This window comes from Homo sapiens, chromosome 6 (genome assembly GCF_000001405.40).
Source record: "Homo sapiens chromosome 6, GRCh38.p14 Primary Assembly".
Taxonomy (NCBI): Eukaryota; Metazoa; Chordata; class Mammalia; order Primates; family Hominidae; genus Homo; species Homo sapiens.
The window spans coordinates 54,778,827-54,802,275 of NC_000006.12; the positions used below are offsets into that span (position 1 = coordinate 54,778,827).

General features: G+C 36.7%; 1 long non-coding RNA gene and 1 pseudogene across 1 annotated transcript in view; one reads left to right on the forward strand and one right to left on the reverse strand.

Annotated features, from left to right (window-relative positions):
* The window catches only part of LOC107986606 (uncharacterized), a 179,493-nt gene extending 156,488 nt beyond the window's left edge, over nucleotides 1-23,005 (reverse strand). The window contains exon 1 of the long non-coding RNA XR_001744176.3: nucleotides 22,911-23,005. This is a non-coding gene — a long non-coding RNA (uncharacterized LOC107986606). The remainder of the gene's footprint in view (nucleotides 1-22,910) is intronic.
* RNU6-1023P (RNA, U6 small nuclear 1023, pseudogene) lies at nucleotides 7,561-7,666 on the forward strand (annotated as a pseudogene).
* Nucleotides 23,006-23,449: the final 444 nt, after the last annotated feature.

Genomic DNA, 23,449 nt, shown 5'->3' on the forward strand with positions numbered 1-23,449 from the left:
CCTTTAAAACTTACCCAGACCCCAAATTGGGTAGACAGATTTGAGCTGCATCTCTTGTCTCCTTGCTGGCTGGCCTTACAATAAAGCCTTTCTTTTCTCAAAAGCCAGTGCCATTGTATTGGCTTCTATGCTTGTCAGGCAGTGAGCACATTTGCTTGGTAAGATTATATTAAATGACCTAGCCACAGTTATCCAAATTCATGATTTAAAAAGAAACAAAATTAGATCTTTATTATTTTTTTCAAGTGTAGAACTAGTTTTTAATTTCAAAATGCTTCAGGGAAGGGTGTGAATGTTAGTGCTTTTAGGATATTAAAGCACGTCTAGACTCAGTACTTGAGTCCGTTTTATAAAAATATATACAAAATAAGAAGTGGTTTTACTAGAAGACAATAAAACAGTTTCAGGATGATTTACAATTACTCATTCCCATTCCTGGTATATTTAACACAGAATAGGGATATGGTGTTATTTCCATTGGGTAAAAATATAATAGTGTGAAATAAATATCCACAATCAGAACAATCTATGTTCGTTGTAGTATTCTTATTTTGTGTCTTCAAAAAAGTTTGTAGAATACATTTGACAGTCACACTGAAACAAGAAGACATCTAAGATGTCAGATAAGGAAAAACAAAACTAGAAAATGGTTGAATCTTGGCTGAGCATGGTGGCTCATGCTTGTAATTTCAGCACCTCGGGAGGCAGAGGCAGGGGTATCGTTTGAGGCCAGGAGTTCAAGACCAGCCTGGCCAACATGGCAAAATCCTGTCTCTACTAAAAATTAGTCAGGCATGGTGGCATGTGCCTGTAATCAAAGCTACTCAGGAGGCTGAGGTATGAGAATCGCTTGAACCTGGGAGGCCAAGGTTACAATTAGCTGCAATGGCGCCACTGCATTCCAGTCTGGGGGACACAGCAACGCTCTGCCTCAAAAATAAATAAATAAATAAACAAACAAACAAACTAGAAAATAGTTGAAGCTTTTCCCAATGATTCACCTTTCTTTCAGTTTGAACACTTTCTCTTGATCAGGAGCCTCAGCTTCCTTTTGTATGCATACTGATTACTATAAATTTGGAGCCAGAAAACTAAGTAACTGGAAATTAAAGACAGTGTAATATAAATAATAAATTACATTGATTCTACTATATATATTTTATTCTACTTTTGGATGAAAATCTCAAACATTTTTGCCTGCTGTATACAATTATAAATCCTCTCGCAATATTAATTTCATCAAAATTAATCCTCAAAATATGCTTATTATAGTGTAAAACTTACTGTGAGCACACAAGAATGATATTTTTAGTCCCTAAATTACACTACAGTTTATGTTAAATTATTAACATGAAGGCAGTATGTAAATAAAGCAACTTGGCTAAATGCAAATTTCATTATCACTAAAAATGCAGCAGTATTTATGTCTTCCACAGCAAGGAAAAACCAGCTCCTCAACTGAAAAATTTATGTATGAAAACTTTCTTCTCTGAGTAAAAGTTAGGTAATAAAATATGTTTACTTCCAGGATTTCCAAATGCTTTACATAGCAATTGGTGTTGAATATGCCCTCTTCCTGGGCATATAACCCTGATTTATGCCACATAACACACTTATTAGTTGTGCAAAAGTCAATGACATGAATCATGCTAAGAACACAAAAAATTATTGTTTTTTGTGGATATTATGTCCTTATTTTTATTTATGAGGAAAGTAGTACAGAGTTAAGAATTTAAATGGTTTAAATATCTTTGAATACTTAAAAGGAGATATCAAAATGTTAGTAAGCATATATACTTGGAATTTTGGTTTTAAAAATTAACCCTTAAACCACGAACAATTTAGACTCAATCAATTATGTGTTGATTTAATGTAGAATCAGTTAACAATAGAGTTTAAGAATTGAGTCCAGGCCTAGCGCAGTGGCTCACACCTATAATCTCAGCACTTTGGGAGGCCAAGGTGGGCAGATCACCTGAGGTCCGGAGTTTGAGACCAGGCTGACCAACATGGAGAAACCCTGTCTTTACTAAAAATAAAAAATTAGCCAGTTGTGATGGCACATGCCTGTAATCACAACTACTTGGGAGGTTGAGGTAGGAGAATCGCTTGAACCTGGGAGACAGAGGTTGTGCTAAGCCGAGATCATGCCACTGCACTCCAGCCTGGGCAACAAGAGTGAAACTCCATCTCAAAAAAAAAAAAAAAAAAAGAAGAAGAAGAATTGAGTCCATTAGGATTTGAGAGAATTTGCTTAAAAAAAAAAAAAGAATTGAGTCCAATCATAGAACCATTACTTATTAGCTAGGTGCAATTGGTTAAGTTTCTTAACCTCTTTAAACCATAGCACTCTCAGTTCTAAAATACTATTACTAAAACAACCATCCAACAATACTAAAATTTATATGAAACACAAAAGACCTCGAACAGCCAAAGTAATCTGAGGGAAAAAAAAAATGCTGGGGATACTATACTAACTGATTTCAAAATTACTACAAAGCTATAGTAATCAAAATAGCATCATAGTGGTATAAAAACAGATACGTAGACTAATGGAACAGAGTGTCAGAAATAAACCCACATATTTATGGTCAAATGATTTTTGACAAAGGTGCTGAGAGGACACAATGGGTAAAGAACAGTCAGTTTAAAAGTAGTATTGGGAAAAACGAGATATCCATATGCAGAAGAATGAAACTGGACTCTCATCTCACACCATAAACAAAAATCAACTCAAAATGGATTAAAGACTAAATTTAAGACCTGATGCGGTAAAAACACTGGAAGAAAACAACAAATTTATGACACTGTTTTGGACAATGATCTTTTGAATATAACCCAAAAGGCACAGGTAACAAAAACAAATGCAGACAAATGGGATCATATCAAATTAAGAAGCTTCTACACACAAAAGGAAACAATCAACAAGGTGAAGAGACAACCTACACAGTGGGAGAAAATATTTGCAAATCATGAATTTCATAAGGGGTTAATGCCCAAAATCTATAAGGAACTAAAACAACTCAATAGCAGGAAAACAAATGACCCAATTTAAAAAACAGTAAAGGACTTGAAGAAACGTTTATTAAAAGAAGACACATAAGTGGCCAACGGATATATGAAAAGTCACTCATTGTTACTAATTATCAGAGCAATGCAAATTAAAATCACAGTGAGATATCACCTCATATCTGTTAGAATGGCTATTACCAAAAAGGTAAAAAATAAGTGTTGGCAAGGATATTGAGAAAGAGATACCTTTGTGCACTTCATGGAAATGTAAATTACTATAGCTATTATAAAGAACAGTATGGAGGTTCCAAAAAAAAAATTACAAATAGCACTACCATATGATCCAGCAATCCCACTACTGGGCGTATATCCAAAGGAAATGAAATTAGTATGTCAAAGAGATATCTGCACTCCATATTTACTGCGACACTATTCACAATAGCCAAGGAACGGTATCCACCTAAGTGTCCATCAACAGATAAATGGATGAAGAAAATGTGTATATATACACAATTGAATTGTTTTCAGCATTAAAAAGAGGGTTATTTGCCACAACATGGATAAATCTGGAGGATCTTTTGCTACCTGAAATAAGCCAGGCATGTAAAGGCAAATACTGCATGATCTCCCTCACCTGTGAAATCTAAAAAAGCTGATTCATACAAATAGAGTAGAATGGTAGTTACCAGAGGCTAAGTGTTGGGAGGGTGGAGGAGTAGGGAGATGTTGATCAAAGAGTTTAAAGTTGGCAGGGCACGGTGGTTCACACCTGTAATCCCAGCACTTTGGGAGGCTGAGGTGGAAGTATCACGAGGTCAAGAGATCGAGACCAACCTGGCCAACATGGTGAAACCCTGTCTCTATTAAAAAAACAACAACAAAAATTAGCTGGGCATGGTGGTGCACGCCTGTAGTCCCGGCTACTCCGGAGGCTGAGGCAGGAGAATGGCGTGAACCTAGGAGGCGGAGCTTGCAGTGAGCTGAGATCGTGCCACTGCACTCCAGCCTGGGCGACAGAGGGAGACTCTGTCTCAAAAAAAATAAATAAATAAATAAAAAAGGTATAAAGTTTCAGTTAGACAAAAAGAATGAGTTTTCCAGATCTACTGCATAGCATAGTCATCATAGTTCATAATAATGTATATTACATTTCAAATATATGTTAAATATTCATTTTGCTGAAAGAATATATTTTGAATGTTCTGACTACAAGAAAATAAGTATATTAATGTATATTAGTTAGCTCAATATGATCTTTCCACAATTTATACATATATCTAAACATCACATTGTAACCCATAAGTATATACAATTATTGTCAATTTAAAATTTACACTAAAAAAATTTTAAAACACAAATAGAAGAATTGGCTATATTGGATAAAATAAATTACTAAAATTATAAAATTAACACAATTTTTGCTATTTGAAGATCAAATGGCATTTTCCATTTAAAGCATTTAGCGCAGTGTCAATCACAAAGTAACAACTCAATAATTAACAACACAGATTTTTGTTTTTATTGCATTATTGTTAATATTATTTTAAAGTTAAAGAGAAAGGGTTCCACAGATTTTTTTCAAAAATCTTCAAATATATATCAAAGAAGCATTAAGTTATTGGGCGCAAGTTTTTTTTTTTTTATTTAACCATTATAATATCTCTTGAATTACCATATACTTTCTATCTGCAGTGGTACATTTCACCACATCTTAGCTCTTGAATATTATGATAGTTCTTTAGTTGGATGCTAGCTTTACTAACAATCAGCTCACTCTCTACACAACTACCAAAATGATGTTTTTAAAGAAGAATAAGAGTCCAGACATAATTTTGTAGAGTAATTTTACCCTGCTCTTATCTGCTAAGTAAAACTATAATCTCTTAGGGGGGAGAAAATACAAAATGAAGTCAAACAATAACTCTAAAAAATAGAAATACAAAGGCACACTGGTTAGGAACCCTGGGAGTGGAAAAGCAACATAAGGACAGGGCATCTTACTATCCTTCACTCAGAAGAAGAAAGCAACCCTGGCCAATGCCTAGGAGGTTCATTCTCTCTTGGATCAAATATGAGTTCTCTCAGCAATACCAGGCAAGTCCAGTACCACTGGTAAAGAGGGTTGATCTGGAGCCACACTAAGAATAAATAGCCAGGGGAAGCATGGTCCTTCCCTGAGATGCTAGAGACTACCCTCCCTCACTGAGAGTAGCCAAGTGAACCCGTCACAACAAGCTGCCAGACCTGGAACATGACCTCTGTCCTTATAGGCAAGAAAAGCTTTTTCTTTGCCTTGAGGCACTAGGTGATGCAGCATAAGGCAACCCCTCTTGCCCCATTGAGAAGGACCAGCAAAGACCAGGGAGAGCTTCAGCCTCACTAAATAAATCAAGCAGACCAAAACAGCGAGGCAAAACTCTAAAAATGAAACTATCTTTGAAACCACAGCCAAAAAAAAGTGCTGTGGAACTGCATGTTACAACTATACAGGGAGCTGCTTACTATAATAAAATATTTAAATAGGGCCTAAAATCTTCTAATATAATAGCTAAATGTTCAGGACATAATAAAAAAAGAAAAAAAAATCTCGACACAGCAAGAACCAGGAATATTATAACTTGAATGAGATAAGCAATTTATTGTCGCTGACACTTAGTGAATCAGATGTTGGAATTATATGGCAAGAATTTCAAAGCAGTCATCAAAAATTTTTCTAGAAGCAATTACAAATCTCCTTGCAACAACAACAAAAAATACTTACTAATCTCAGCAAAGAGATAGAGGTTATGAAAAAGAACCAAATGTAAATAATAGAACTGAAAGATCTGATATAAAAATCTAAAAAACTTGCTGGATAGGTTCAGTAGTAGGTCATAGATAACAGAGGATAGGATCAGTTAACTTGAAAACAATCAATAGAACTTACACAATTTTCACAACAGAGGGGGAAAAGAGAGAGAGAGAGCACGCAAGAGAGAGCGTGCACAAGAAAGGATGGAAAAATAGAAGAAATAAAATTGCCCCTACTTGCAGATGTCATGATTGTCTTTGTAGAAAACCCATGGCATCTATAAAAATGCTTCTAGAATGAATACATGAGTTCAGTGTACTTGCAAAATACAAGATCAATACACAAAATTCAATCATATTACTTGTATAATACCAATGAACTTCAGTAGTCCGAAATTAAAAACATAATACTATTTATAATCAGTCCAGTGAAAATGAAATACTTAGTGAGGTATATACTTACTGAAACATGTACAGAGTCTATACGTGGAAACTTATTAAATGCTGTTGAAAGAAATCAAAGAAAACCTAAACAAATATAGAAACATAATATGTTCATAGATTTGAAAATTCAACATTGAAAAAAATGTTAATTCTCCCCAGATAGTTCTGTGGGTTCAATGACAATTACTATCAATATTCCAGTAAGAATTTTTTTTTTTTTGAGACAGGGTCTTGCTCTGTTGCCCAGGCTGGAGTACAGTGGCATGATATTGGCTCAATGCAACCTCTATCTCCCGGGTTCAAGTGATTCTCCTGCCTCAGCCTCCCGAGTAGCTAGGATTACAGGCGCCTGCCACCGCACCTGGCTAATTTTTGTATTTTTAGTAGAGACGGGGTTTCACCATATTGGCCAGGCTGGTCTTGAACTACTGACCTCATGATCCACCTGCCTTGGCCTCCCAAAGTGCTGGAGTTACAAGCATGAGCCACCGTGCCCGGCACCCAGTAAGAATTTTTACAGCATAGACAAGCTCATTATAAAATATATACAGAATAAAACACAGATCTAGAATAGCTTTTTAAAAAATCTTTGTACAGAAGAATAAAACGTGAAATCACTCTATTTGATATAAAATCTTATTATAAAGTGACAGTAAACAAGGCAGTGTGATACTGGCAGAGGGATTATAGATTAATGGAACAAAATAGAGAACCCAGAAATACACCTACGTAAATATACTTAACTAATTTTAGACAAAGGTGCAAAAGCAATTCCAAGAAGGAAATATACCCTTTTCAACAAATAGTACTGAAGCAGCTGGACATCCATAGGCAAGAAAATAAGCCTTGACCTAAATCTCAAACCTTATACAAAAACTTATTCAAAATCAATCATAGATGTTAGTATAAAAGTATAAAACTTTTAGAAAAAAACACAGGAGACACTCTTTAAAGTCTAAAGCTAGTGAAGAGTTGTTAGACTTGACATTAAGAGATGATCCATAAAAGGCAAAATTGATAACATGGACCCCATCAAAATTAAAAATTTTTGCTTTGTGAGAGCTTGCATGAAGAGGATGAAAAGACAAGCTACACAATGGAAGAAAATACAAACCACATGTCTGAAAAAGGGCTGCTATTTAGAAGACAGAACGAACTCTCCAAACTCAACAATGAAAAACAATTTAATTAGAAAATGGGCACAAAACATGGATAGACACTTCACCTAAGAATATGTACAGATGGCATATATGCACATGAAAAGATATGCAATGTCATCAGCCATTAAGGAAATGCAAATTTAAACCACAGTGAGTGCTTGCTTTAGTAACACATATGCTAAAATACTATACAACATAGGAGATTAGTATGGCTCCTGCACAAGGATGAAACACAAAGTCATAAAGTGTCCCATATTTTGCGTTCCTTTTCTAATGTTTACAGATAGGAAAACTGAGGCTCCAATAAGTAAAATGACTTCCGCAACTAAGAGTCATTTCAGCTTTAAACTATTTCCAATTCCTCTTCCTCTAACAAACAAACAAAAACCACAATGAGGTATCACTAAGTAACTATCAGAATAGATATGATTAAAATACTGGTAATGATGTGTGACTATGATTTAATTCTATTTCTATTCCCTTTTTTTTTTTTTTTTGAGATGGAGTCTCACTCTTTTGCCTAGGCTGCAGTGCAATGGCACAATATCAGCTCACTGTAACCTCTGCCTCCTGGGTTCAAGCGATTCTCCTGCCTCAGCCTCCCGACTAGCTGGGATTACAGGCACCCACCATGCCCGGCTAAGTTTTGTGTTTTCAGTAGAGACAGGGTTTCCCCATGTTGACCAGGCTGGTCTCGAACACCTGACCCCAGGTGATCCGCCTACCTCGGCCTCTCAAACTGCTGGGATTACGGGCATGAGCCACCGCACCTGGCCATAATTCTATTTCTACAACATTTTGAAATAACATTTTTGAAATGGAGGAAATATTAGTAATTCTCAGAGGTATGAACAGGGGATGATGATGGGGCAGAGGTGTAGGAACAAGATGAGTGTGGTTATGAAAGCACAACACAAGGGATCTTTGTGGTGTTGGTAAGTATGTTGACTGTAGCCGTATGTAAGCAAACCTGCGTAAGTATAGTAAAATTGCATAAAACTAAATACATGTTCTTACACATGTGAGTGCAAATAAAACTGGGATAATTTGAATAATATTGCTCTCAGTGTCCATCCCCTAATTGTGATATTATACTGCAGTTTCTGCAGTATGTTACCATTGGGGGGAAACATTGTAAAGCGTACATAAGATCTACTTGTATTATTTCTTACAACTAGATGTGAGTCTAAAATTATATCAAAATTTAAAAGTTAAATTTTAAAAATTTTACAATGGAATGGAATATTACTGAGCCTTAAAAAAATGAAGGAAATCCTGTCATTTGCTACAACAGGAATGAACCTGGAGGACATTATGTTAACTTAAATAGCCAGACACAGGATCACACATACTGTGTGATCTCACTTATATGTGGAAACTAAGCAGAGAGTAGAATGGTGGTTACCCAGGGCTGAGTGGGGGAAGGGAAAAGATGCTGGTCAAAGGGTACAATTTTCTGTTAGGAGGAGTAAGTTCAGGAGACCTATCATAGAACATGGTGACTACAGTTAATAACAATGTACTGTATTCCCCCAAAATAACTATTGCATTTTCCATATATGTATTTAAAGAAAATAAGTAATGTATAATAATATAGTCATTAGTTAATGACACATTAAAATATATTTCAATTGAAAGAGAGAGAGACATAAAGACAGAGTAATAGTCTTGTCATTAATAGCTCAGCACTATTTTCAGTGGATCTCTGGCATACACAGCAGTTCTCTACCTTTTAACACATCATAAAACATTTAGAAAATGATATTTATGTGCCACATGAAAGTATACAGAAAGTTACAGCCTAAGGCAACCAGCCATTCTCCTCTAGAAACCTCAATTCCCACCCATCGCAGACTGAAGAGATTATTATCTAACATACTTGTAATTTTGCATAACCTGAGAAGTTCTCATATAGGCTGAAATTTAAGATCTTTATTTTCTCTCTGGATGAGAAGCTCCTTACATCTGTGGTCTTCCTACAAGTCCAGCTATACTTTCTTCTTTCTATTTTATGCCTCATACTGGGAGCTCAAATCATAAGAATTTCTTGTAGTTCTCCAACCCATTAAGCCTCTTGAGTCCTTTCTATTTCTATGCATATTAATTCCTGCCTGGAAGTCTCCTCCTGCCTAGTTCATCTAGCACATCCCTTTCATCTCTCTGCTAATGGGATGATGAAAAGTTTTAAAGAGTAAAGTTATGCTTCAAGTCTATGCTTAAACATAATTTCATTTGTCAGATCAGTGTTTTATACAAACTTCAAATTTAACAAATTAGGAAAAGAGGAAGACAAATTGTCCCTGTTTGCAGATGACATGATTGTATATCTAGAAAACCCCATTGTCTCAGCCCAAAATCTCCTTAAGCTGATAAGCAACTTCAGCAAAGTCTCAGGATACAAAATCAATGTGCAAAAATCACAAGCACTTATACACCAATAACAGACAAACAGAGCCAAATCATGAGTGAACTCCCATTCATGATTGCTTCAAAGAGAATAAAATACCTACGAATCCAACTTAGAAGGGATGTGAAGGAACTCTTCAAGGAGAACTACAAACCACTGCTCAATGAACTAGAAGAGGACACAAACAAATGGAAGAACATTCCATGCTCATAGATAGGAAGAGTTAATACCGTGAAAATGGCCATACTGCCCAAGGTAATTTATAGATTTAATGCCATCCCCATCAAGCTACCAATGACTTTCTTCACAGAATTGGAAAAAACTACTTTAAAGTTCATATGGAACCAAAAAAGAGCCTGCATTGCCAAGTCAATCCTAAGCCAAAAGAACAAAGCTGGCGGCATCATGCTACCTGACTTCAAACTATACTATAAGGCTACAGTAACCAAAACAGCATGGTACTGGTACCAAAACAGAGATATAGACCAATGGAACAGAACAGAGCCCTCAGAAATAATACCACACATCTATAACCGTCTGATGTTTGACAAACCTGACAAAAACAAGCAATGGGGAAAGGATTCCCTATTGAATAAATGGTGCTGGGAAAACTGGCTAGCCATATGTAGAAAGCTGAAATTGGATCCCTTCCTTACACCTTATACAAAAATTAATTCAAGATGGATTAAAGATTTAAATGTTAGACCTAAAACCATAAAAACCCTAGAAGAAAACCTAGGCAATACCACTCAGGCCATAGGTATGGGCAAGGACTTCATGACTAGAGCACCAAAAGCAATGGCAACAAAAGCCAAAATTGACAAATGGGATCTAATTAAACTAAAGAGCTTCTGCACAGCAAAAGAAACTACCATCAGAGTGAACAGACAACCTACAGAATGGGAGAAAATTTTTGCAACCTCCTCATCTGACAAAGGGCTAATATCCAGAATCTACAAAGAACTTAAACAAACTTACAAGAAAAAAACAAACAACCCCAACAAAAAGTGGACGAAGGATAGAAACAGACACTTCTCAAAAGAAGACATTTATGCAGTCAACAGGCACATGAAAAAATGCTCATCATCACTGGGCATCAGAGAAATGGAAATCAAAACCACAATGAGATACCATCTCATGCCAGTTAGAATGGCAATCATTAAAAAGTCAGGAAACAACAGGTGCTGGAGAGGATGTGGAGAAATAGAAACACTTTTACACTGTTGGTGGGACTGTAAACTGGTTCAACCATTGTGGAAGACAGTGTGGCAATTCCTCAAGGATCTAGAACTAGAAATACCATTTGACCCAGCCATCCTATTACTGGGTATATACCCAAAGGATTATAAATCATGCTGCTATAAAGACACATGCACACGTATGTTTATTGTGGCACTATGCACAATAGCAAAGACTTGGAACCAACCCAAATGTCCATCAATGATAGACTGGATTAAGAAAATGTGGCACATATACACCATGGAATACTATATAGCCATAAAAAAGGATGAGTTCATGTCCTTTGTAGGGACATGGATGAAGCTGGAAACCATCATTCTGAGCAAACTATTGCAAGGACAAAAAACCAAACACCACATGTTCTCACTCATAGGTGGGAATTGAACAATGAGAACACTTGGACACAGGAAGGGGAACATCACACACTGGGGCCTGTAGTGGGGTGCGGGGAGGAGGGAGGGATAGCATTAGGAGATATACCTAATGTAAATGACGAGTTAATGGGTGCAGCACACCAACATGGCACATGTATACATATGTAACAAACCTGCACGTTGTGCACATGTACCCTAGAACTTAAAGTATAATAAAAAAATTTTTTTTCCACTGTATTCATTTATTTACTTGACAATATCCTGACTGAACTGCAACACTCTTGGATGAAAGAAATACGTATTTTTAATCTTTTTTATCAGAATTTATAAGATATAACATAGTAGATAGTCAATACATATTTGTTAAATAAATTCATAAATACTTGGAAGGTATCCAGAAGGATAACATCTTTATAATATTTTTGTTTAATATGTAGACCTCTTCATTACTGAATGAGAATTGTAAATTGTCTCCACAGAAAATAATGCTTTCATGTAAAATTTGCACACAATTACCTCATTCACGGATTCTCCATTTTATCACCTAATGGGCCACCAACTGCTCAAGACTAGACTGTACAAAAAGATCTCCTAAAATGGAAACTGGTTTTCAGTCTGTTGGACAAACTACTAGTATGATTTGATATTTACAGATATTTTTACCATGCACTAGTAATGAATAAACTAATACTTTCAGAATTTAGTGGTTGTTTTACACTTAATGTATGAAGATAACATCGTACCAAATTATGCATTATGCATTGAGGAAAACGAAGTCAACCAATATCCAATAAATTAAAAATGTTTCATATTCCAAAATAATCCAATATGTTACATTTTGAATGTGCAAACTGTCAAAATATTGTCTCAAGGTGTTTCTTTTATCTCAGATTGATTTTACTCATTTTTATGCTCTGAATATTTTGTTTTCAATATACTAAAAAAGGATAGTACACCATTATTTTTCATTTTAATCATGTGTATGCCTATGTCATGAGCTGGATATAAAAGACATTTTAAGAATTACTAGAAGATGTTACAAAAGTAATTTGAACATCATTGAAATTTATTTCTACTTTTGATATCAAAGGCCCAGTTGTAAATATCTCATTTTCGCTTCATATTTATGAGGCAACTGTGGACAAATTTCAGTTCTTCACCCACAATAGTAAAAAGATTTAGATAAAAGATCTCATTTTTCTCCATGGTTATTTGTTCATTAAATTTTTACTAGTTGATTTTACTTTTTAGAGCAGTTTTAGATGTGAAGAAAAATGAAATAGAAAGTACAGAGTTCCCATATACCCCCTGATAGCTCCCGTCATACATAGTTTCTCCTATTATTAACGTTTAGTATTAGTGTAGTACATTTGGTACAATTGATGGGCTAATATTCATGGTAGTTACTAATCAAAATCCATAGTTTATATTAGAATTCACTCTGTGTTGTCAACTCATGGGTTTTGGCAAATGTATGATACATATTCACCATTACAGTATTATACAGAATAGTTTCACTGCCTTAAAAATCCTCTGTACTTCACCTGTTAACCTCTCCTTTCCTTTCATCTCAACCCTTAGAAACCATTGATCTTTTTACTGCCCTCCATAGTTTTATCGTTCCACAACGTCATAAGTTTGGAATTATATAGTATGCAGCCTCTTCAGATTGACTACTTTTTTTTTTTTTTTTTTTTTTTTTGAGACGGAGTTTCACTCTTGTTGCCCAGGCTGGAGTGCAAAGTTGCGGTCTCGGCTCACTGCAACCTCCGCCTCCTGGGTTCAAGTGATTCTCCTGCCTCAGCTTCACAAGTAACTAAGATTACAGGCACTCACCACCACGCCTGGTTTAATTTTTGTATTTTTAGTAGAAATGGGGTTTCACCATTTTGGCCAGGCTGGTCTCAAACTCTTGACCTCAGCTGATCTGCCCACCTTGGCCTCCCAAAATGCTGGGATTGCAGGCATGAGCCATAGCACCCTGCAGATTGACTACTTTCAATTATTAATTTGCTTATATGGTTTCTTAATTTCTTTCAATGGCTTGATAGCTCATTGACATGTATCGCTAAATAATATTTCATTATATAGATATACCACAGTTTGTTTATCCATTATTTGTGTCTTTTACAAAGCATAAACTTTTCATTTTCATGAAGTTCATCTTATAATTTTTCCTTTAATTGATGATACTTTTGGTGTTGTACTTACAAAGTCATCTCCAAACCCAAGATCCTCTATATGTTCCCCTATTTTTTTTCTCTAGGAGTTTTATAGTTTTGCATTTTACTTTTAGGTATATGATTCATTTTGAGTTAATTTTTGTGAAAAGTATAGGGTTTGTGTCTAGATTTATTCTTCTGCATAAGGATATCCAGTTGTTTAACCATCATTTGTTGAAAAGATTATCCTTTTTCTATTGAATTACTTATGCTTTTTTGTCAAAGATCAACTGACTATAATTGCACGGGTCTGTTAATGGACTCTATTCTATTCTGTGGCTCTATTTGCCTATTTTTTCACTAATACCACTCTGACTTGAATACCGTAGCTTTACCGTAAGTCTTGAAGTCTGGTTGTGTTAGTCTTTTCACTGTTCTTAGTTGTCTATTCTAAGTCCTCTGCCATTTCATATAAACTTTAGAATGAGTTTGTGGGATCCAAAAAATAACTTGCTGTGATTTGTTCATTTGATTTTTGGTATGATTAACCCCTTAGATTTTATTCTATTTTTTTAATCTTCAATTTTAAAACTATCACTATACAAAGATCCAAATTATTTTCTCCAATACAGGATTAATCTTAACCTTTAAGCAGTTCATTTTATATATTGAGGCCACAATTTGTTTTGAACATCAATTAAATATACTGCCTAATAATTTATTTTCTATTACCTCCAGCCTAAAATAAAGAATAACATTTTGTCTTTTTTGTTTAATAAATCAGTATTAAAATTGGAACTGGGTTGAGAAGAATTCACAAAGAAACAAACAACAACAAAACATCTTCACAGTAGGAAATAGTAATATGGCAGAGACGGAAGCAGACTCCATCAAAAAATCCTTGAAGTTTTTTTTCTTTGTTTTGTTTTGTTTTGAGACAGAGTCTCATTCTGTCACCAGGCTGGAGTGCAATGGCATGATCTTGGCTCACTGCAACCTCTGCCTCCCAGGTTCAAATGATTCTCCTGCCTCAGCCTCCTGAGTAGCTGGGATTACAGGCGCCTGCCACCAAGCCCAGCTAATTTTTGTATTTTTAGTAGAGAAGGGGTTTCACCATGTTGGCCAGGCTGGTCTCAAACTCTTGACCTCGTGATCTGCCCGTCTCAGCCTCCCAAAGTGCTAGGATTACAGGCGTGAGCCATCGCCTTCGGCCGATCCTTAAAGTTTTTATTATTTATTTGAATTTGATTTATTTTTATAGACACTGATTAATTTATATACAAATTTTAAAGCATGTTATTAATCAGGACATAAAACCCAGACTAGAAAATGAAACTAGAAGCATTCACATTATCATTTCAGTTAATTAGGTACCCATCCACTGTGGTGTCAAGTTAATTATGTGAAGGTCTACAAAAATATTTATGGGGTTGTAAAATGTTGGGAGACTAATAATATATCTAAATTTCTGACATAGTATATATCTTTTAAGACTATAGAAAATATTGACTCAGTATATATATTTTGTGCTTGGGTTTGTATTCAGTCTTAAATCAGTTATTGCAATAAAAGTCACCTTTACAAAAAAAGTTCCAAGTTACTTATTCTAAGCAATGTTTTATACAGCAAACTCTCAATATTTTGTAGCCTTTGGATTGCCTGGGGAGTTCATATGCAGAACATTTTACCTGTATTGGAAATCATATTTAGATCAATGTACTTGTGAAATACATACTTATTGATTTTCTTTTTTTTTAGGTTGACAAAAGTAATAATTTATACTGACTACAAGCTCAGGGCCCTTTCCTTCCATTACCTTATCTTATTCTCCTAACATCCACATGGAGTGGGTGGTACAAATGGTGTTGCACCTGCTTCACCCATGAAGAAATAAAAGAAGAAGAACCATAAATAAATTGCCCAAGTTTAGACTAGCAGTTATCTGAATTAAACCAAAGTAAATGTGATTCCAAGTAGAATGTTTTTTCTGTAACACCATAACCAGAGATGAAGAAAGAATAAAGAAGGGCCGGGCACAGCAGCTCACATCTGTAATCCCAGCACTTTGAAGGCAGAGGTGTGTGGATCATCTGAGGTCAGGAGTTCCAGATCAGCCTGGGCAACATGGTGAAAGCCTGTCTCTACTAAAAATACAAAATTAGCTGGGCATGGTGGCACGAGCCTGTAGTCCCAGCTACTTGGGAGGCTGAGTCAGGAGAATCCCTTGAATCTGGAAAGCAGACAGCTGAGATCACGCCATTGCACTCCAGCCTGGGCAACAAGAGTGAAACTCCATCTCAATAAATGAATAAATAAATAATAAAACTCTGAGCTGGGCACGGTGGCTCATGCCTGTAATCCCAGCACTTTGGAAGGCCAAGGCAGGTGGATTGCTTGAGGTCAGGAGTTGAAGACCAACCTGATCAACACAGTGAAACCCCATCTCTACTAAAAATATATTTTAAAAAATTAGCTGGGCATGGTGACAGGCACCTGTAATCCCAGCTACTCAGGAGGCTGAGGCAGGAGAATCCCTTGAACCCAGGAGGCAGAGGTGCAGATCGTGCCACTGCACTCCAGCCTGGGTAACAGGCAAGACTCTGTCTAAAAAAAAAAAAAAAAAAAAAAAAAAACAGAAAAACTTTGAAGGGAGAAAGTCTTCTGTGGTTTTTGCTTCTCTTTAAAGCAGAGAACTGCTAGCATATATTTGACAATGTGTTTACTATGAATACTCTTAATGTATATATCTATATATACACACTTAAATAGGCTACAAATAACATCAGAATTAATTGATATTCTTCATATGGTTTGGGTCTGTGTCCATGCCCAAATGTCATGTTGAATTATAATATCCGGTGTTGGAGATGGGGCCTCCTAGAAGGTGATTGGATCCTGGGGTGGATTTCTCATGAATGGTTTAGCATCACGACCCTTTGGTGCCATTCTCATGATAGTGAGTGAGTTCTCAGGAGATCTGGTCATTTAAAAGTTTGTAGCACTTCCCACCTCGCTCTCTTTTGCTCCTGCTCCTGCTCTAGCCATGTGAAGTGCCTGCACTCCTTTCACCTTCTGCCATAATTGTAAGTTTCCTGAGGCCTCCCCAGAAGCCAAGGAGATGCCAGCACTATGCTTTCTGTACAGCCTGCGAACTGTGAGCCAATTAAACCTCTTTTCTTTATTAATTCCCCAGTCCTAGATATCTCTTATAGCAATGTGAGATGGTACCAATATAACTCTCCTTACTTCTCTACAGAAGTCCACAGGGGAAAAAATACTTTCCTTCTCTCAGGTGGGTTCAAAAAGATAATATTCTGCATTGGTGGTAACCAGATATACTTTTTTTGTGAATATTTATTAATTCTAGTGACATTCTCAACAGGAGATTTGCTATTGTTGTATGATCAGCTAAGCATTCATGTTCAATATAATGTTGTTGGAAGCCCTCAGGGTACATGCCATTGGAAAAATATCAACCTGGGTTGCAGTGTGTATTAGTCTGTTCTCACACTGCTAATAAAGACATACCTGGGACTGGGTAATTTATAAAGAAAAAGAAGTTTAATGGACTCACAGTTTCACATGGCTGGAGAGGCCTCACAATCATGGCAGAAGGCGAGGAGGAGCAAAGTCATGTCTTATGTGGCAGCAGGCAAGAGAGAATGAGAACCAAGCAAAAGAGGAAAACCCTTGATATGGTTTGGCTGTGTCCCCACCAAAATCTCAACTTGAATTGTACCTCCCAGAATTCCCAGTGTTGTGGGAGGTACCCAGGCGGAGGTAACTGAATCATGGGGACTGGTCTTTCCCATGCTATTCTCATGATAGTGACTAAGTCTCACAAGATCTGATGGGTTTATCAGGAGTTTCGATTTTTGGTTTTTCCTCATTTTCTCTTGCCACCACCATGTAGGTAGTGCCTTTCACCTTCCACGATGACTATGAGACCTCTCCAGCCATGTGGAATTGTAAGTTAAGTTAAACTTCCTTTTCTTCCCAGTCTCGGGTATGTCTTTATCAGCAGCATAAAAACAGAATAATACAGTAAATTGGTACCAGTAGAGTGATGTGTTGCTGAAAAGATACCCGAAAATGTGGAAACGACTTTGGAACTGGATAACAGACTGAGGATGGAACAGCTTGGAGGGCTCAGAAGAAGACAGCAAAATGTGGGAAAGTTTGGAAGCTCCTAGAGATTTGTTGAATGGCTTTGACAGAAATGGTGATAGTGATATGAACAATAAGGGCCAGGCTGAGGTGGTCTCAGATGGAGATGAGGAACTTGCTGGGGACTGGAGCAAAGGTGACTCTTGTTGTGTTTTAGCAAAGAGACAGGTGGCATTTTGCCCCTGCCCTAGAAATTTGTGGAACTTTGAACTTAAGAGCAATGATTTAGGGTACCTGGTGGAAGAAATTTCTAAACAACAAAGCATTCAAGAGGTGACTTTGGTACTGTTAAAGGCACTTAGTTTTACAGGGGAAGCAGAGCACAAAAGTTTGGAACATTTGCAGCCTGACTATGTGATAGAAAAGAAAAACCCATCTTCTGGGGAGAAATTCAAGCCAGCTGCAGAAATTTGCATAAGTAGCAAGGAGCCTAATGTTAATCTCCAAGACCATGGGAAAATGTAACCAGGCCATGTCAGAGACCTTCATGGCAGCCCCTCCCATCACAGGCCTGGAGGCCTAGGAGGAAAAAGTGGTTTTGTGGGCTGGGCCCAGGGTCCCCATGCTGTGTGCAGCCTAGGGATTTGGTGCCCTGTGTCCCAGCTGCTCCAGCCATGGTTGAAAGGGGCCAACATAGAGCTTGGGCTGTGGCTTCAGAGGGTGGAAGCTCCAAGCCTTGGCAGCTTCCAAGTGGTGCTGAGCCTGTGGGTACATAGAAGTCAAGAATTGAGGTTTGGGAACCTCTACCTAGGTTTCAAGATGTATAGAAATGCCTGGATGCCCAGGCAAAAGTTTACTGCAGGAGCAGGGCCCTCATGGAGAACCTCTGCTAGTGCAGTGTGGAAGGGAAATGTGGGGTCAGAGCCCCCACAGAGAATCCCTACTGGAGCACTGCCTAGTGTAGCTGTGAGAAGAGAGCCACTGTCCTTCAGACCCCAGAATGGTAGACCCACCAACAGCTTGCACCAATGCACCTGGAAAAGCCACAGACACTTAATGCCAGCCTATTAAGGCAGCCAGGAGGGAGGCTGTACCATGCAAAACCAAAGGGACGGAGCTGCCCAAGACCATGAGAATCCACCTCTTGCATCAGTGTGACCTGGATGTGAGACCTACAGTCAAAGGAGTTCATTTTGGAGCTTTAAAATTTGACTGCTGTACTGGATTTCAGATTTGCATGGGCCCTGTAACCACTTTGTTTTGGCCAATTTCTCCCATTTGGAATGGCTGAATTTACCCAATACCTGTACCCCCATCGTATCTAGAGAGTAACCAGCTTGCTTTTGATTTTACAGGCTCATAGGTGGAAGAGACTTGCCTTGTCTCGGATGAGACTTTGGACTGTGGACTTTGAGTTCATGCTGAAATGAGTTAAAGACTTTGGGGGACTGTTGCAAAGGCATGATTGGTTTTGAAAAGTGAGGAGATGAGATTTGGAGGGGTTAGAGGTGGAATTATATGGTTTGGCTGTGTCCCTACTAAAACCTCAACTTAAATTATATCTCCCAGAATTCCTACATGTTGTGGGAGGGATCCAGGGGAAGGTAATTGAATCATGGGGGCTAGTCTTTCCCGTGCCAATCTTGCAATAGTGAATAAGTCTTACAAGATCTGATGGGTTTGTCAGGGGTTTCCACTTTTGCTTCTTCCTCATTTTCTCTTGCTGCCACCATGTAAGATGTGCCTTTCACCCTCTGCTATGATTATGAGACCTCCCCAGCCATGTAGAACTGTAAGTCAAATTAAACCTCCTTTTCTTCCCAGTCTCAGGTATGTCTTTATCAGCAGCATAAAAACGGACTAATACACCGCTTATAAAACCATCAAATCTCATGAGACTTATTGACTACTGGGAGAACAGTATGGAGGAAACCACGCTCATGATTCAATTAACTTCCAATCGGGTCCCTCCCACAACACATAGGAATTATGGGAGCTACAATTCAAGATGAGGTTTGGGTGGGGACACAGACAAACCATATCAGAGAAATATGCTGCAATGTCATAGGGATCCTGTAATCATGTTGAGTCAACACCTTTAGTAAAATATTCTCACATTATTAGGGAGATGGCACTATATATACATAAAAGCTTCTGAAAAGCCAAATTGTTGAATTCTTACTTATCTCTTTCATATCAAAGATAGCATTTTATCATGTGCCTAATTTAGAATAATGTGTTGAATCCCTAAATCAGCTTTCCTCTGGAATTAATACCTGAAATCTATTTTTTTTAAGATGCTACATAGTGTTCTATCAGTGCTAGTACCTAACCTGTCAATTCTTATCCAATCAGGTGTATAATAAATTTCTTCTGTATGCCATAGTTCATTAGGGTTCTGCTAGATCATTGTACCTTTTTGCCACTCATATATAAAGGATATTAACATCATACGGCTGAGCATTTGAATGAAAGCAGGATGAACCCCCAATAAACCTGAGCTGATAATGATCAGGAGAGAAGAGATTAGTCCCTTTTTATCTTCTGATAGAACAGAGAGAAAGCACTAGAGACAGCTTTTGATTGGCCTTGCTAACAAATAAGGAGCAGTGGCATCCAAGCAGCAGCAGTCCATGGGCAGCCCTCAATGTTGCCCTTCCACTAACCCAGGCTCACATCCTTCGTGGTTGGTGTGCCTGTTCTGTCAATCCCAGTCCTGGATTATCCCAATCTTGTTTCCTTCCACTTCTGCTCTGGCCCCTAAATGGTATTAGACCAAATGCAGAAATGACTGGTCAAACTTCCACTGGATTCTTTTATACTCCTGTGCAATTATTTCATATATCATCTGCTAATTTCACACCGTAGTGATTTCCCAGAACAACTGCTTCCTTGAGTCTCTGGTCTTACTCTCATTTTAGTCCTCTGTCTGAGCTAATGCCTTTAAAATCCATCTGGAGAAAACTTCCAAGTTTCTCTCACTTCTATCCATCATAATTTTGTTTCTATATTTACCTTTCCCTTTGGACTGAGAAAGATTCCTCATGTTGTTTAAAGCTACCTCACTTGTAATAAACACTGATTTATTCCTCTCTCCCTTCTTAGATAACTTGTTTTCTCATCACTCCTTCCGTTTTAATTAGTAAAGTTCCTTTCTCTTTGGCATGCAGAGGTCTCTCCTAACTTAATAACAACAATGAAACCCCTCACTTAATTTACTTGTCTTTTCTATTTAACTATCTTATTTTATTATAAAATGCCTGAAATAGCTACATGGTAGAGCTTATTGGGCCTGGACCATAGATCTAAAATCTGAAAAGCCTAAGTTTAAGAATTTATATCATTAATGTAATTATGTTTGCAAATAGTTTTTGAGAAGGAAGAAGAAAATGTTTATATGTGTAAATATAAACACATACACATTTATACACATATCTTCATACATGTATATGTGTAAACATATACAAGTGTAAACACATGCACATTTATACACATATAAACATTTTCTTCTTCCTTCTCCTCTTCTTAATCTTTGTTCTTCTTCCTAATCTCCCTTGTTCATAAGAAGTGATGTATAAATGCTCATTAATCCATTAATTGGCATCAAAATACTATAAAACTTTTTCTCAATTGGACAGTGTGGCTGCTAGTTAGAAGAAAATGACTCTCAGAGGAGCAAACTCCACTCCTACGCTAGCCAGATGGTATGGCAATGAGGTGATGGGTTCCTTTTCTCCTGGGTGGAAGAAAGGACTGCACGTATGAACATGATGCAAAGCAAATAATCTAGAGGTGACTGAAGCATGACATCACAGTGAGCCTATAAAGCCACATATACAGTTTGCTCAATGGGACAAAGTCTTTATTAATACAATTATAATTTAATAAATATAACATTGTTTTATTACTCTTTTGATTATCATTTACTGATGGTATCTGGAACACGGAATTTGACATATGAACACTCAATATACATATGACAAAGACAAAAGTACAAGGAAGAAAATGAAGAAATAACACCGGCATGATGCCAATGATATGGGAATTTATTATCAGAGTCAATAAGTCAATTCTCTTTATCTTTAGGACCTGAACTTGGACAATATTCAGGTTCATAGATAGATGCAACATTTACTATGTTATTCAAAGTGGGAAATTTTATGAGCAAAAGTAGCAAAAGATTTAAACAAAAACTGTGTTATAAAAATTGTCACTCAACTTAGAGCATTAGTGCTAACTGTGCAGGCACTAAGAACATAGGAGCCTGTTGATATTTTTCTCATCTTTTACTGCAGATTTAAAAGTAAAATATTCAAACATTCAAATAACAACAATAAGTAAGTTCCAATATTTACTAGTCAGTTTCTAGCATGTAGTAAACCATAGAGACCCTACTAGCTGAATAACTTGGAATGGACTACTTTCCTGCTCTACCAACAAGGGCCTTGTTAGTGTGGCTATTCACAAAGATGGGGAATATATTTTTCTTTTCAATTTATATTTTTAAATATGCACATATGCCAGACACTGAGCTATATCCTAGAGATATACTCAATAAGGCAGAATCTGCCCTTGAAGATTTACAGTGGTGCAGAATATGAGACAGGCTATTCTTCAGTTTCAGTCTTATGCACTAATATATACATATACATTTTAAAAATTATCTCATTTAAATTATTCATCACATCATTTCCCTCCATTGGTGCAGAAAATTAATCAAAGAGATTGAGGAAGAGAGAAACAGATTTAAAGCCAGATTTTATTAGATACAACTTAAAAATTATTAAAATATTGATTTACTCATCATTAAAAATATCTCTTTCCAGGAAATCCAAAGTCTTGCACTGTAACAAAGGAATTGCCTCATCTGTCAGTCAATTACACTCAACTCATTGAGAACATATGCCAATCATATCCCCATGCATAACAATCAATCAATCAACTAAAAAGTAACTGTACAGTGCATACAATGTAGGCAAAATGCCAAAACTCTCTTTTTTTATTGGCATTATTGGAGGTATTTGAATTTTTAAATGGAAAGTTACCAGTATGTAACCCTTTTTGGAATGTTAGCTGTCAGCCATCATGAAACAAATACAGCACAAGAGCTAGAAAGACCACACTGTTATCATAATCTCCATTAAAAGCAAAATGATAGTTCCTTCAGCATTGAATCATTACCTTATATGGCTTACAGTCAGTAAACTCTACTCACCAATATAATATTTCATGTATCTCCAGGCTTTTGTTGAAAGCCTTGCAACTGCGATGTCCTATCCATCTTACCCTGAAAATGTTAATTATGAAATTAGAGCTTACAAAGCTATGCCTGCCAGTAGAGTCATGTGATATCATGATGTCACATACCAGTAACTGAGCTTTGGTGTTTATGACTCATACAAGTAATCCATAATAAATCAGGCAGGCAGGGCTATTTGTGAGTCATTTAGCTATAAGATTTCCTTCTTGCTTGCTGAATGTTCCTGAAGAATTTGCATCTCATATATGTTGTACATGGTTCACATTAATAAATTCATTGATTTAAAAATCTATGTTGCTAAGCAAAACCTTATATCAATCAGTGGTTGATTGAACTTGAGGACTGAGTTCCTTTTTTCCTTTTAAATATATGCAATAAAGGAAAGCAATAATATTAGTCCCAGAAAAATTTGTAGTCTTTCCTTAAAATTTGTGAATAACAACAGAAGTAAACCTGAATTATAAGAAGACATAAATTTTAATCTGAATTAGAAT